At 37.0% G+C, this 17347-nt stretch overlaps 2 long non-coding RNA genes across 2 annotated transcripts in view; one reads left to right on the top strand and one right to left on the bottom strand.

Annotated features, from left to right (window-relative positions):
* The window catches only part of LOC105370732 (uncharacterized), a 50985-nt gene extending 39486 nt beyond the window's left edge, over positions 1–11499 (top strand). Inside the window, exon 3 of the long non-coding RNA XR_931993.3 lies at positions 11419–11499. This is a non-coding gene — a long non-coding RNA (uncharacterized LOC105370732). The remainder of the gene's footprint in view (positions 1–11418) is intronic.
* The window catches only part of LOC105370733 (uncharacterized), a 440742-nt gene that overhangs the window by 388237 nt on the left and 35158 nt on the right, over positions 1–17347 (bottom strand). The window contains exons 9-10 of the long non-coding RNA XR_007064539.1: positions 10280–10365; positions 3690–3730 (exon numbers count right to left, since the gene is read on the bottom strand). This is a non-coding gene — a long non-coding RNA (uncharacterized LOC105370733). Of the gene's footprint in view, positions 3731–10279; positions 10366–17347 lie in introns of the transcript that reaches the window.

Below are 17347 nucleotides of genomic sequence, written 5' to 3'. Positions count from 1 at the left end.
GTGACTGAGAGGTGGTTACTGCCGAATATCTGTGCAGTTCCCACAGGGGACAGTGAGATGAGATAAAGGTGGTATTCAGCTGTCTTATATGGACAGCTTATATGGACAGCTTATAAAACCTTGAGCAGGTTTTATAAGGGGCTATGTTCAATGACCACCTTGAGGAACATGGAGGAGGCCACAAACTGGAAAATGTCATGGATTTCTAAACCCTATTTCTGGTATGAGAATGTCAAAACTATGTAGAAAATGAATGCCCAGGTTACATCAAATTAAAACAATTCACAGCAACATTTAAAATAGGAATTCTAGTAGCCCAATAATAACTCTCTCTCTAATCCTGAGGTAGCAGGTAAATCTAGTTGTTCAACTAATTTGAAACTATAGTTAAGCATGTTTTTGCAGTAATAGACCAGAATATATATGATGAGCCAACAAAATTTTATACTGAGAAGGGGGCAGTCACAGAGAAAAAATAGTGTGTTCCATTCATTTTATAAGGCATATTTTTACATCTTCCAAATAGAGATGGATCATAATATTCTGAAAAGACTATTGGTTAGAAGACAGTCATAATGTGATCAACTTTCTGTGCACACACGTGAACTTGATGTAAAAAACTTCCATTTTCACATTCTGGTGGTATCTTTAACATCATAATTTGGAGAGGGACGTTAGTAGATGAGAAACAATCTAACATAAACTCTTATAGTTCTCTCACTACAAATATGGCATCTGCAAAGCTCCTAATTAGCAGAGATGATGCTAATGTAGGAAGAATCCATGGACAAGGTGAGACGCACAGTGATTTAGAAGAGTTTTATCCAAATATGAGAAATTTTAGAAAACCTTGATTACCTATTTTGCTTTTACTTTCTATCTCATATGATCATAGGAGTGATAAAACATAAATACACACATTTATATTCAAAAGTGTAAAAAGTAAAGTAGAGATTCCTCTTCAAAGACTTTCCTCCCCATCTCATTAGGAATACATAGTAACTTCTCTTAGAAGCAAAATTTATTCAAAGACCTGTGCTAACATTCTTAAATATCTGCTAGCCGTAATAAAGAAATGAATGTACTTTATGTTCTTAGTTCCCACAATTTAGCCTAAATATTTCCCCTGGCATGCTTATACTGGTCCAAGCAAGCATTAGGTCATAGCCTGTTCCTCTTCCTTATTTGAAGGTGTTTTTACCTTTCTCCAGATTCCAAAAGTTACTTCCTCCTTCCTTTGTTCTCCTCTGCCTTTGCCTCTTTTAAAAAGTTCTAAGTTGCTAGCCAGTTGGGACAAATATAGAATGTGAGGTCCTGTTCCAGCCAATGGAAACCGGACACAGCAGTAGGGTGGAAGCATCAGGTTATAAATGACCCTGTCTCCTTTGTTCGGTGTACTCTCATTGCAAAACTGCTGGCAAGTGTACCCTTTCTGCAGAAAATATAAAAATGGCCTTGCTGAGGAAATGATATTCAAGTGGTATTTCTTTATGGCACCAAGGAACAGGCATTTCAAACAAAAAGTGTTATTTGCAACATATATGAGATAAAATTTTTGTGATGTCATAGTTTTTCAATAGTTTTATGCTTTTATTGTGATGTAAAATAATGATGTATTTTACAGTTGATACATACGATACTTCTTGCAATTACTTGGAAAAAGCTGTCACTAGTAGCAAATATTGACTTAGTGTTTAGTGCAGAACTATGTAAAACAAAAATGACTGACACAGATCTCATTCAATTCAGAGAATTATTTTGCCATGTTTAAGGATAAAGAAACACAAGTCACAGTAGGCTCTGTGGCCTGTGCTTTTTCCAAAGAAGGTTTTGCTGACTTCCATATTTATAGAGGTGAGACCAGGGAGGAGTGGATGGAGGATAAAGAAATGGGGGAAAGACAGCGAGGCAAGTGTTACATCCAAATTAGCACTCACTGCATCCAGAGGTTGCATGTGTAAAGAGGAATGGGGTAAAAGTTAATTGTGCATTTGTCTTGTGCGTGGTAGATCTACATTTTACATAAGATAGGCAAACTTGTGAAATTACAGCTGACTCTTTGGGAACAAAAGGAAGGTAGTATTAGCATGACTCAGTTTCCAACTTTTCCTTTGGCACAGTGAGTTTGGGGTCCCAAAATTTTATTTTCCTTGTTCTTCAAAATATTTCAGAGAAAGCATTTTAGAAGAAAATGAGTGTTTGGTTATATTTTTTCCCTAATCTTTCAACATTAGGATGGTTTATTCCTAGAAAGTTAGGATCTACATTTTTAAGGAGACTCATTCTAGAAGGTTGTGAAGAAATAGGGGGAATAAAAAATAAAGGGAAAAGATAAGAAAAAAGAGACACAGCTGGATTATAGCAACAAAGTAGAAAGCAATCCTTGAAAACTGATAGACTATATTACAGAGCAGTCCATATATAACTAGATAGTCCTGAAATCTTTTATGTAAATAAATAAGATGCTGTTGTTTCTCCCAAAGTTTAAGTTTTCTAGTTTCAGTGTGCAGGGCTTTACACAAAGCACAGTTTTAATTTCTACTAATTCCAAGTCAGAAAAAAATGGGAAAAAAAAATAAAACATTGAAAATGTTAGTTTGGAGACTTGTAACCGGCAAAGAATTTAGGATCCAGTCTAGCTAAATTGTAGGCAAATAATAAAACTGGAAAGCAATGAACAGGGCTAGAATCCAATAAAGGATGTACTATAGTTTCATTTGAAATACATTTTTCTTTCTATAGTCTTCCATTTTTACTAAAGAAAAATCATAGTAAGACCAACTTATTTCCAAAGTAAGTTTTCGTTTTATTGTACTTGGCCTGATTATTTTCACAAAGTGCAGCAAGGATATTTTTTTTTCCATATAGGCTCTTTTAATTTGGCATTGATGGAACTTTTTTTTTAAACAAAGTGTCTAAGATTTGACTTTTCAAAAAGCCCCTCAAGCTCAAACAAGGATTTATTGTGCCTGCAAATAACTTATGAACTGGGTGAATTCCTCTCATCTTGAGGTCGCAAGATTACTTGGAGTTCCTAGGCCTGTCAGAAGGTAACATGCTTTTCTTACCACAGGTTAGAAAATCTGTAGAGAAGGTACAAGGCCAGTCTCTCCAAGGGAATTTTATTGGCTCTATTATTCAACCTAAATTTGTCAAAGCAATCTGCTCATAGATGAAAATATGCTATTCCAGCCAAAGCCTTGGCAAGGTAACTACTGTCTCCAATTGTATCATGATACAAAAAAAAATATCATATCGATCATATGCAAATAACTTATAATACCATAAATTAAGAATATTCAGAAATAATTCTAATATGTCTTAGTATATGTTATCAGTAATAATTATGATTATTACGCTGAATTGTTATGTGTCACAGAAATGACCAGATTTCTTTGTTGACTGTGTCTTTAACAATGGCCTCATTGGACACAGTGACTCATGCCTGTAATGTCCTCACTGGGCACAGTGGCTCATACCTGTAATCCCAGAACTTTAGGAGGCTAAGTTGGGAGGATTGCTTGAGCTCAGGTGTTTGAGATCAGCCTGAGCAAGATAGTGAGAACTTTTCTCTACAAAAAAGTCAAAAAATTAGTTGGATGTGGTAGCACTTGCCTGTGGTCCCAGCTCCTCTGGAGGCTGAAGAAAGAGGATTGCTTGATTCCAGGAAGGTGAGACTACAGTGAGCCATAATTGTGCCACTGCACTCCAGCCTGCGTGGCTTCAGACCCTGTCTCAACAAAATCAAAGTAAAATTAATAAAACAATGGCTGTCCTGAGATTACTGTCACCCACAGATTATTGTGCTCTTTTTTTTTTAAACTATTCAAAATGTGTTTGCTCTTTGAAATGTTCTCTTGAATACAGGTTTCTGATAACTAAAGATTGTGGCATTGAAATAGGAAAAAAACAAAACCAAACAAACAAACTTCCAGGACTGTCAGAGATAGCTGGTATGTTTATGAGGACTGCAGGCCTAATGTCAGACAAAGTTAACTGCATGGACTGAACTAATAGAAGAAATAGAACACCACAATAATCCTTTTATGACTTGTTGCTTGAAATGTTGCTGATCTTTTTTGTTGTTTTTCAGAGTCAAGACAACATTTTTTCTTCTCAGCTATTTACAGCTTTTCATGATTGAGTAAAGTATATTCCTGTGAACAAAAGATGAAGGATATTTCATTTTCTCTACTTGATTTCTCCAGAATTTGAAAACTATTTATTTATGAGTATTCTATACTATGGAGATATAGTTATTGACATAAGTAAAATAAGAATCTGATTTCTTTTGTAAGAGAACACAATTGGAGACACTGATTATTTTACCAAAGATGTGATGATGTTACCAGTGGAATGGCCTACTTTCAGATACAAACAGACAGGCTTGAGGAATTAAAGTTGACTAACAGACATGATAAAAGCCCCTTAAGAAACTGACCTCATAACTGTCTACACAGGCCTTGTACAGGGTTCCTGACCTGTGGTTAGTAAAAAATGTCACATTCTGACAGGCCTATGATTCCTAAATTATCTTGGGAGCTGAAGAAGAGAGAATTTCAAGCAATCTGTACAAGTATTTGCAGGCACAGATACATCCCTTGAAGGCTTTAAAAAAGTCCAATCCGAGATTCCTTAGGGAACAAAGTTCCAGCAAACCCAATTTAGAAAGAGCTAATATGGCAAATAATTATTCTTGCTGAACTTTACGCAAATAATCAGGCTAAGTATAATAATACCAAAACTTATTTTGCAAATAAATGTGTCCTACTATGATATGTCTTTAAAAAATGAGAACTAGAGAGCGAAACATTGTATTTCAGAAAAATACTATAGCACACCTGTTGTTACATTCTAGTCTTGTCTATTGTTTTTAAGCTTTTTATTGTTTTCTGCATTTTGTACTGAATCCTGAAATCTCTCAGAGCTAAAGTGCTCAAACTAACACATTCACATTTTTCTTCCCCTTTTCTGACCTGGACTCAATGAAATGGCTACGAACTTCTTCCCAAGGCCCTGCAGGCTGAAGCTTATCCCTTGAGATACAGATGCGAAATATGTGAGATTGTCATCACTATCCTCCTTTGCAACTTAAAAATGCTTTGAATCTAACATCTGGATGCATTGTGCCCAATATAAATCTTTGTTATTATTTTCTATTTCCATACAAATGCCTGTTATTAAAAATGTTTTTTGCCTTAATCACATAAGGGGGCCTAGTTCATTTGCAGTGACGCCTCCTGGAATGAAACACTGCTGGGATCTATTCTGAGGACTAGGAAACTAACTAAAAAGATATGAGATGGTATATTTAAATTTGCTCTTTCCTGTTTATCCAAATTTGTCTTTCTAACAACCTCTGACCCATATCTCTCTTGACTATTGACCCCATGTCTGACTGGTTCTTGGCGCTATTCACCCAAATCGCTCAGGGATTTAGATGAATTATATAAGGACTTCTGAAGCTAGGACTTCCACTCCTTATATTAGGACTCATTATCCTATAGTCAGCTGTTCACTTAAGTGCTGTACTAAAACTGTGGATGAGAGCACTAACATCTTGGTCATGCAAGCCTAGGAACCCCAACCAGGCACCTGTGAATACATGCAGGCAGCTGCAAAGCAGTTTCATTCCATTTACTCTGGGCCAAACCCTATCCCAAGTATACCCCTTGTCAGCAGGAAGAAGTTAGAATGGTCTTTGGCCTTTTCCCAACTCTGTACCTCACCCATTAAGAATAAGATGCAATGAAACTTGCAAAGGGAAATTGGAATCACGTTTGCAAAAACAGTAACAGTAAGAAAATTATGATAGGGAGAGAGATATGACCTAAGTGACTTCATCTTGCATTTAACCTCCAAGAGGCCTTTGCTGATTCCTGGGCAAAAACAAACTAACTTCGGGAGAAATTTACTTTGTAGCTTAACTTTGAAACAAAGATAATGACAGCTCCTCCCTGAAACAAAACCCCTCATTGTTTGGGGACCACATCAACTTTGTAAAACTAACAAATTAACCACAATATTAGAAAGTATGGCTCAGGAGTCATACAATCAGAGGCCACAATATTAATAACCTCCCCGATTGCTCCTATAAATAGCATTACTATTGTAAAACCTAAGATTGGTGTTTGAGGTATTTTTCATAACTTGCATTCTGACAGATCAGTGGGTGCCACCTAAACCCATAAACTGGCTCATCTGGATACGTGGCCCACACTCAGGAGCTGAAGTCAGTAAAGAAGATGGCTTTGACTTCCTAAGATTTCATCCCTGACCCAACCAATCAGCATGTCCCTTTCTCTAACCCCTGCCCACAAAACTATCTATAAAAACTCTAGCCTCTGAATATTTGGGGAAGCAGTTTTGAGTAATACGAAAACTGCTCTCTCCTTTAGCTGGCTCTACATGTATAAAATCTTCTCTACAGCAATTCCCCTATCTTGATAAAGTGACTCTATCTGGGCAGCAGCCAACATGAACCCATTGACCATTAACAACCCAACTGCTGAATTTTGTATGAAGATAACTTGTTTTGATTTCATGGGCTGACAGAGGAGACTTTAGATTTGGGAACTTCCTGCTGGTGCTAGAACAATTTAAGCCTTTGAACGATAGGAATTAAATAAACTTTTTGTAAGTGACAGGGCTTTATTTTTAGAGTCAGAAGTGGAGTCCTGTGGTTGGAATATTGCTTCCCTCCAAAATTTATGCTGAAATTTCATCCCTAACATGGCAGTACTGAATTGTGAGACCTTTAAAATGTGACTGGATCATGAAGAGTTTGACCCCATAAATGAATTAATCCTTTCATGGATTAATAAATTAATATTTAAAGATTAATAGTCTACTATGAGAGAAGAGTGGCTTATAAGAAGGGAGACATGATCTTGCATGTCAGCAAGCTCTACTCCATTGCCATACGCTACCCTGTAGGCTTCAGAACTCTTCAGAGAGTTCCAACCAGGAACAGGATCTCGCCACATACAACGTCTCAACCTTGGACTTTTCAGCCTCCATAACTGTATGAAACACATGTGTTTTCTTTATCAACTACCCAGTTTCAGGTATTCTGTTATAAGTAACAGAAAATGGACTAAAACAAAGTCTTAGTATTACTATGCCCTGTTATTAAGTTCAATGGAATATTACAACCATTCCAGACAAGAATACAAATGATCCAGATCTTTCAGGAATGAAGGTTTGCATCACCCTGCCAGGTAAAGACCCAGGACCAGCAGAGGGGCTTGCTGAAGACAAAGAGAATACTGAATGGGTAGCAGTAGAAGGGAGTTACAAATAGCAGACAGGACCAGGTGACCAGTTAAAGAAACAAGGATTAAAATTGTCACTAGTATTTCCTATCTACTTTAAGAATACATTTGCATGTTATATATACATTTATTAGCCAAATAACATTGTTTTTATTTCTCTCTTCTTTTATCACATAACACAAGAATGCATTAACTTGATATTAGCAGTTAAGTGTTAGTAATTTAATATATTTGTATTGAAGTTATGGGGTATCAGAAGAGTAAACATCACCCACAAACTTCTACTACTCTTAAGAAAAATAGTATAGTGTGTTCTGGTTGCACACAGGATCGTTGCATAATGTTAGGTAGAACTATTGCCTTGTTATTGTCTGTATTTGAAGATTAGTTATGGCTTAAGGTGACACATATAGGTGCCAACTAGAAAGGTGCTGGATTTGTCATGGTTAATTTAAGACGCTGACTGGATTACAGAATACCTACAGAATTGGTGAAGCATTACTTCTAGGTGTGTCTGCCAGGGTGTTTCCAGAGGAGATTGGTGTATGACTCAGGGAATTTAGTGGAAAAAAATCCACCCTCAATGGGGGAAGGCAGCATACAATCTCCTTGGGGACCAAATAGAACCAAAAATGAAAAATTTTTAAAAAGTCTTCCTGTCTCTCTCTCCTGAAGAAGGTATACTCCTTTTCCTGCCCTTGGAAAACAGAATTCCATGATCTATGGCCTTGAAACTCCAGAAGTTACACCAGTAAATGCCCTGGATTCTCAGGCCATTGGTCCCAAACTGAGAATTACACCAAGGGCTTCCCTGATTCTGAAGATTTCAGCTTTGGACTGAGCCACCAACGCTACAGCATCCAAGGTCCTTAAACTCACAGATGGCTGTCTCGGGAATGCTCCGTCTCTACAATGTTACATGAGTAAATCCCCAAACAAAATGCCGCTCATTGAACTATTATCTATCTATCAACTCTCCATCTATATATGTATCTATCTACCTACCTATCTACCTCCCTGTCTCTCTGGAAAAAAAAAACAACTGACAAATACACCCATAAAGACTTCAGCCAAATGGTGCAATACTATGTCTGTCTCTAGTTGCTCCTCCACCACCCCTGCTGCTTATGAGTGTATGTCCTGGAGAGCTCTTCTCTTTCCATCTGCACTTCAAGGAATGCTGCCCTCTTCTTACTGGGATTGGTTAGTAATACATGACTCATGCCATTATACACATTTTGTTGAGTTGCCTCCTCTGTATTTCACTTTACGAACACACATGGACATCACTTTTCTCCCACTTAGCACTCTCCTAGAGAGTGGTTACCTTGGTAGAAATAAACTAGACACAGGTCAGACAGGAGCCACAGGGTGTCTTACAGTATAAAGAAGTACTCTGTGAGAGGGATACCTGGATGTAAGCTGGACGGTTGGGCTTTAGGCCATCGACCAGGATAAGTAAGCATCCCATGAAAGGCACAGCCAGTACCAAACCCTGAGTCGTATTGGGCAAGGTTATAGGTTATAGTCACCATCCAGAGAGGCCTTAACAGCAAACAGAAGTAAAAATAAAACACATGCTGTGAAATAACACACATGCTGCGAGATAATTTTATAAACTATAGTTCCAGGAATCCTTGAGAGGGAAAGTAAAACTGGCAAGGCATTATTTGAAAGTTTGCACTGGAGTGGTAGCTCTCCAAAGATAAACAAAAATCTCAGGCCAGGTGCGGCGGCTCACACCTGTATTCCCAGCACTTTCGGAGGCTGAGGCGGGCGGATCATGAGGTCAGGAGATCCAGATCATCCTGTCTAACATGGTGAAACCCTGCCTCTCCTAAAAACACAAAAAAATTAGCTGGGCATGGTGGCGGGCGCCTGTAGTCCCAGCTGCTGGGGAGGCTGAGCCAGGAGAATGGCGTGAACCTGGGAGGAGGCGCTTGCAGGGAGAAGATCACGCCACTGCACTCCAGCCTGGGTGACAAAGTGAGACTCCGTCTCAAAAAACAAAACAACAAAAAATCTCTATCTAGAGGATTTCAGACCTAATCATAGAAATATAAACAATGATCTCTGTAACTTATTCATTTATTTATTTAATGGGGTTTCACTATGTTGCCCAGGCCGGAGTGCACTGGTTATTCACTGGCACAAGCATAGCACGCTACACAGCCTCAAAATCCTGGTACCACATGTTCATCCTACCCACCCACCCTAGCAGCTGGGACTGACTACAGGTGTGTGCCACCACACTTGCACGGATACAATTTTTAAATCAAGAAAGTTGCACTTCTTTTTCTTCTTTCCCATAGTCATTCTAATCATGTGAAGAATGATCATACAAATCATTTTATGATTAGTTACTGCAGATGTAGATGCATTATAGTTTCCATACAATCTTTTATGCTGTCCACTTGTTACTTGGATCAACTTTGTTTTTGAATACTTGAGAAGAAGAATGGGCTTTAGCGTTCCCTGAAGAAGAGAGTAAAATAGAAACTCATCTGATTTATATTTTATAATATTATTGCATTTGTGCCATGAGATTTAGGTTCCATGAAGGCTCAATTAAGTTAACAGGGAGACCTGATCTCAAATATATGAGCCATGTCTACACTTCTATTTATTTTGAAATAATTTTAGATTAACAGAGAGTTGTTAAAACCTTACATAAAGTTGTATATACCCTTCAATTTCCTATTATATTAATATCACAACAGAACCATAGACTATCTATGAAAACTCAAGAACTGATAAAGGCGCAAAACTATTAACTAAAGTACTGACTGTCTTCATATTTTACCAGGTTTTCCACTAATGCCATTTTTCCTTTTTTTGGATCTAATCAAGGATAACATATTATGTTTACCGTTAAGTGTATTATTGTTTATTGCAGCATAGCCAATAACCACATAACTTAGTGGCTCAAAAGCACATACAAATTACTCACAGTTTCTCTGAGTCAGGAATTCAGATGTAGATGATGGCCAAGGCTGAGGTCTCACCTGAGGATCAGCTGGGGAGGAATCATCTTCTAAGTTCTCGTGATTGACCTGGTTGAGAAGACTTCACTGATGATTTATATGAAACCCTTAAAATATTAACAGCAATTTTTTACTAACTGTTCTCCAAAAAGATAAAATAATAGAGAAGAGATCAGTGTGCAATACATTCTATGAGGCAGTTTCCTCTGAGGCCACTACCAAACAAAAACAGTCCAAAAAAGGAAAACTATAAACTCATATGCTTTATGGATACCCAAGCAATAATTCTCGAGGAAATAGTCTGAACACAGATCAGGATCGTAAAACAGAATTAAACACTAATTTATTTATTTATTTTCTCAGGATCACAAGTTTGGTAAAACATATAAAAAGAATTAGTGTAATCACTATATTAATATAATAAATGACAAAATTTTCTTTATCACATCTAAAGATATGGAATAAGCACTTTCCAATTCAAAAAACCACTCACAGTAAAAACACTAAACAAATTTTGCATAAAGGGAATGTTCTTACCTAACACAGGCACCCATGAAAAATTCACATGACAACACATGGTATCAAGTAGGTCTCAGTAATTTTCCCAAAATTACAAACACAAAAGGTTATCTATTCCACTAATTCAACTAAACATTATGCCTGAGGATGTAATTTATAAAATTAGGCTGGAAAAATAAATATAAGACTTCCAAATTGAAAGGGAAGAAGTCAAACATCTATTGGCCAGTGACATAATCTAATGTATAGAAAATCCTAAAAAATTCACTAAAATAAGGTTGGAACAAAAAAAAATTCAGTATGCATGATCGATGTAATAAATTGCATTCTTATACAATAGAAACTAATCAAATAATGAAACTCAGAAAGTAATTTCATTTAACATGGCATCCAAAAGGAAATATATTTGAAAATAATATAACTGCAAGATATATATACTGAAAATTACAAATGATATTGAAGTATTAAAGAAATCCTAAATAAATGAATAAAAGAATTAGTGTAATATACTATATGAACTAGATTTTCATTGATCAGAAAGCTATTAAGTATTAACCAAGATGCTTATACTTTCTAAATGCATCTTCAGATTCAATACAAGCCCTACTAAAATTCTAACTTTAATTTTTTTTCATTTTTAGCAACTCTTGGACCACTGACTCTAAAACGCACAGAAAAATGCAATTGATCCAGAACAGCCCAAGGAATGTTAAATATTTTTTACAGAAACACAAATGACATTTATAGAAGTATGTATGTGCTGTGCATAGTGATGTTTTTTCCAAAAGGTACAACATGAGAAGGGGAATAATATTAATTTTATAGTGGAGAAAACTGAGCTAAACTGCCTCATCCGTGTGATCAAATAACATTAACCATGATAAAGCAGCTGGGCACAGTGGCTCACACCTGTAATTCCAGCACTTGGGAGCCTGAGGTGAGAGGATCGCTTAGGGCCAGGACTTAGAGACCAGCCTGAGCAATGTCGTGAGACTCTGCCTCTACAAAAGTACAAGTAAAATTAAATCACCCAGATGTGGTGGCACATGCCTGTAGTCCCATCTACTCAAGAGGATGAGGTGGAGGATCATTCAAGCCCAGGAGTTCGAGGCTGCAGCGAGCTTTGTTCATGCCACTGCACTCCGGCCTGAGCAACAGAGTGAGACCCTGTCTCAAAAAAAAAAAAAAAAAAAAAAAAAACTGATACAGCATGTTGACACTATGTACTCTTGTTATAATATCATGAGAATAAAAGTTTCCCTCTGTGGGTTTCCTCTGCTAAATCCACAACAGCCATCCAATCATTAAGAAAACACCAGAGACATCCCAAAGGAAGGATTTCAATGATATCAGAAATAAGGAAAATCTGAGAAACTGGCACACGATACCTAAATGTGATGTGGTGTCCTGGGTGGAATCCTGGAACAGAATATGGACATTAGGTGAGAACAGAACATCTGATTAATTGTGAATGTTGCTGAATGATAATGTATAATATTGGTTCATCAATTGCAACAAATGTCTCAAATGAATGTAAGAATTTATAAAAGGGAAATTATGTGTTGAATATATATAAACTCTCTGTATGTACTTCTAACTATTCTGTAAATCCAAGCTATTCTAACACAGACTTAAAAAATAAATAAAATATATATATTTTAAAAATTACACTATTGAGCTTACTAAGCAGAACACTGTCGATCTCGTAGCGTCCCAGGTGCTCACCTCCCCATTCCCACGCTTTTTGTTACCCTGGTGAACATTACCATTATTTTTAATTTTCCTTTTCCCATTCGCAAACTTTTCTTTCTTAGTTTTGGTCTCTAAATTTGTATTTGTTAATAATGTCCTGTTTGCTGTTTCTTCTCTTCACAAATAGATAATTACATGTCTCTCTCTATATTGCTCAGTAAAATTATGAGAAACATTCAGAGAAATCTGGATTTTGATACATTTTACAAACTATGTGACCTGTTTTCTCACAAAGTGAGGACTGAGAACCTGTCCCAGATTAAGCAAGACCTGACGTTGGCAGGTGAACTCTCAGATGGTGCACAATGATCCTCAGAGCTTAATTAGAATATCTAATCCTTTCCTTGTGACTTTGGGGAGAAACTGAAACTTGCTTTGATATATCAGAAGACTACAACCTGATAGGATGTCACTTGGGTAATCATGTTACCTAAGATTATGATACCTGTCTTGCTGCAAGCTCTCTGTCATGGTGGCTTTGATGACACATTCTGCCATGGGAGAGAAGCCAACATGGGAAATAACTGCATGCAGCCTCTGGCCACAGACAGCAAAAAACTGAGGCTCCTCATCCAGTGTCCTCCCCTAGAGGTTGCAATTTATATTTACTACTAATCTAAGCTCCTGTCATATAAAAGTATACAGCCTCAGAAGTAGTGTAACCATCTTATAAAAGAATAGTTCTAACTATTTCTTCCTTTTTCCTGTATTTTTTCTTTTCTCCCTTTTTTCCTTTCATTTTACTTATATGTATATATATACACACATATCTATATATATCTTATACTTAGGAAAATATAATTAAATTAATTGCTGCTTTGTTTTTTTTTTGAAACAGAGTCTTGCTCTGTCACCCAGGCTGGAGTGCAGTGGCACGTTCTGAGCTCACTGCAACCTCTGCCTCCCGCATTCAAGCTATTCTCCTGCGTCAGCCTCCTGAGTAGCTAGGATTACAGACATACATCACAATGCCCAGCTATTCTTTGTATTTTTTCTTTTTTAGTAGAGATGGGGTTTCACCATGCTGGCGACGCTGGTCTCAAACTCCGGAACTCAGGTGATCCACCAACCTCGGCCTCCCAAACTGCTGAGATGTTATAGGCCTGAGCCACTGGGCCTGGCCTTGCTACTATTTTTTTTGAAAGGCACCTGTCTGCTATTGAATATAATTATATTAAATAAGCTCTTATATGTAAGATCAATTAAGAATATGAAAATTAAAAGTTTTTATCTTGAGTAACCAATAAAAAAGTATAAAAAAGTCTGAGATGCTAAGAAAGAAGATTGAATTATATGAAATGCTGAATAAAAACCACAAAAAAAGGAAAATGAATGGAAGACAAAAATGGAAACAGGGAAGCGCAAAAACTAGAAGATTCTAACAAACATGGTGGATATTCATCCAACTATATCAATCATCACTTTGAAAAAGTGTCAACACCTAATTCAGAACAATCACAATCAGAATACCAAGATACGTGTGAATTTATGAATTAATTTCAATATTGCTTTCATTTTTATATGAATAAAGTGTAAATTTAAAATTCTAGAAGGACTTTTTCAATAAGGGTAAATAAGTCTGTTATGTGTATAAGAGTTGAGACAGAGATATTATTCTTTTTTTGAGATCCTTCTTCAGTCTTTGATTCATTAACATACTGTGGATGTCCCCAACGAGACTACTACAGACATTACATATTTACCAATCTGAGCTTCCCTTTAGTGATACAAAGGCCTGCTCGCTTGTCCATCTTTGTCTGTGAGTTTGGTGAACGTTGTTCCTTACTCAGCTTCACATTGACAAGTATATCCATATAGGCGGTGGTACAGTAATGATTGCGTAATTGCAGGAAGAATGAAACAAAATGTTGTGGAAAAACTTATGGCAATTGGACATGGCTTATCACAGGTAAAAATGGACGATTTATCTGGAAGGATGGATTGCAAGACAGCGCACATCAAACAATGAAGGACAGTGACATCTGAGAGACGTGAAACAATGAGGGCTACTGTTGCCTCAGGTTACTGCTTGGGGAGAGTTTCCAGGCTGTGGTGTGGCACGGACTCTGGAAGACCCTCAGAGTTGAGAAGATGGAACTGACAGTCTGGAGAAAGAGGTGGCTGAATTTCATGAAGCCATTCTCCATGGCTGCACGAGGAGGGAGCACGCATGCCAACAGCCATGCAGGCCGGACTGTGGTGCCATCATTACTCCACTGAGACATGGTTCACAGGAGTACTGGCGCAGTACAGAAACAAAAAGCAAAGATTGAAAGTAAAGTAATTTAAATGAATTATTTAATAAACAGTAATTCCCCTTTATGCTTTCATCTAATTTCTGACTACAAAAAGACAAAGTTTTCCATGACTCAGTGATCTTGCATCCAACCCAAGAATGAAGGAATACACACTGTTTAGAAACAAAGTAAATGGTGTGTTAGGTAGATTCAGTCACCCTGTGTGGACACCAACCTGCCTTTCCTATGTTATCCTGTTAGTTGTGGCTGGTAAAATCACTACATTACGAAATAATTAAAGTATAGTTTTCTACTTATAAGAGAACAATACATTTGTCACCAAAAGGAGAAGCCAATAAAGGTTTCTTCCTTCATTGATTTTCCTTAAAAAAATCTCCAGTTTCCTTTGCATCTTAAAAATATTTTTTCTCTTTTGGGTGATCATGATGTGTCAATGTAGGTTCATCAATTGTGTAACAGTGGTATCACATTGTTGTTTTAACTTGCATTTCCCAAATGACATACAAGGTAGAGCATCTTTTTGTATGCTTATTTGCTATCTGAATATCTTCTTTGGAGAGGCATCAGTTAAGGCCTTTGGCACATTTAAAAAATCAGGCTGTGTGCTTTCTTATTGTTGAGTTTTTTTTTTTTTTTTTTTTTTTATTATACTCTAAGTTTTAGGGTACATGTGCACATTGTGCAGGTTAGTTACATATGTATACATGTGCCATGCTGGTGCGCTGCACCCACTAATGTGTCATCTAGCATTAGGTATATCTCCCAGTGCTATCCCTCCCCCCTCCCCCGACCCCACCACAGTCCCCAGAGTGTGATATTCCCCTTCCTGTGTCCATGTGATCTCATTGTTCAATTCCCACCTATGAGTGAGAATATGCGGTGTTTGGTTTTTTGTTCTTGCGATAGTTTACTGAGAATGATGGTTTCCAATTTCATCCATGTCCCTACAAAGGATATGAACTCATCATTTTTTATGGCTGCATAGTATTCCATGGTGTATATGTGCCACATTTTCTTAATCCAGTCTATCATTGTTGGACATTTGGGTTGGTTCCAAGTCTTTGCTATTGTGAATAGTGCCGCAATAAACATACGTGTGCATGTGTCTTTATAGCAGCATGATTTATAGTCCTTTGGGTATATACCCAGTAATGGGATGGCTGGGTCAAATGGTATTTCTAGTTCTAGATCCCTGAGGAATCGCCACACTGACTTCCACAATGGTTGAACTAGTTTACAGTCCCACCAACAGTGTAAAAGTGTTCCTATTTCTCCACATCCTCTCCAGCACCTGTTGTTTCCTGACTTTTTAATGATTGCCATTCTAACTGGTGTGAGATGATATCTCATAGTGGTTTTGATTTGCATTTCTCTGATGGCCAGTGATGATGAGCATTTCTTCATGTGTTTTTTGGCTGCATAAATGTCTTCTTTTGAGAAGTGTCTGTTCATGTCCTTCGCCCACTTTTTGATGGGGTTGTTTGTTTTTTTCTTGTAAATTTGTCTTGAGTTCATTGACACATCATGATCACCCAAAAGTGAGCAGAAAGGTAAACAAAGCCTCTTTCTTGTGAATGTGAAGAAATGAGAGTAGGATAAAGAGTGTAAAAGTATTAAGAAAAGAATTACTAAAACAAATCAAGCTTTCCCTGGATCACTTCCTATGAAGACATATACAATTCCTCTTTTTAAAAGAAAATTTACCTAAAACCACAATGCATGTATAGTTACCACTTTCCATGGCAGTTCTGATGACATATAAAAATACATTTGAATTGGATTCTGTAAAGCATGTAATTTAAACATTGGTACAACGCTCTAAGTGGGTTTATAGAATCCATGGGTCTAACATATAGGTGAAATCATGTTACGATGGAATTCTTTCAATTATTCAGGTAATTTTATCCCAAACCATGCTCTGCTTACTATAATACTAAGGTGCTGTTATTCAGTGAAATGCTGTTTCTCACTGCTTTTTGTTATTTTCATTGTAAATAAATTCAAGAGCACTACAACTAAAAAAAAAAAAAAAAAAAAAAAAAAAAAAATATTTTTTCTCTGTTCTTCACCACATGAATGCCCCAGGCTATGTAGTTTGCATGAAGTATAGGGTTGCTCTTTAGACACAGTGAAATTAAGTTAAGTTGTAACCCAGTATACTATTTTCCTAAAAATTACCTTTGCATTTTTTCTTTTTCTCAGTGTTCACCTCTTGCTTAGCTCCTCAGAAATGCAAATGTAACCTTTTCTTTCCTTCGTTTCCACCAGTGAAACAACCTGCAAGTATTGCCAGCTTATCTAAGTATATGTTTCCTTAGAAATTCTAAGGACCAAATGTTGAACCAAAGCAGGCAACATCCAGAATTCTCCCTCACAAGGACACTGTCTCAAGACAATAGTTAATCCACATTCTGACTCTTTCCTCAATGACACTGGTCAGACTAACAGATGACCCCTTAGCTAAGTTTTACAGCAAGTCACATAGACCCCACACCTCCATGTTCCTTCTGCATACCCTGCACAAGAAAGTTTCTCTTCTTAAAACCCTGCTTTCTTCCCG

This window comes from Homo sapiens, chromosome 15 (assembly GCF_000001405.40).
Source record: "Homo sapiens chromosome 15, GRCh38.p14 Primary Assembly".
Taxonomy (NCBI): Eukaryota; Metazoa; Chordata; class Mammalia; order Primates; family Hominidae; genus Homo; species Homo sapiens.
This window is presented reverse-complemented; position numbering and strand designations above follow the sequence as displayed.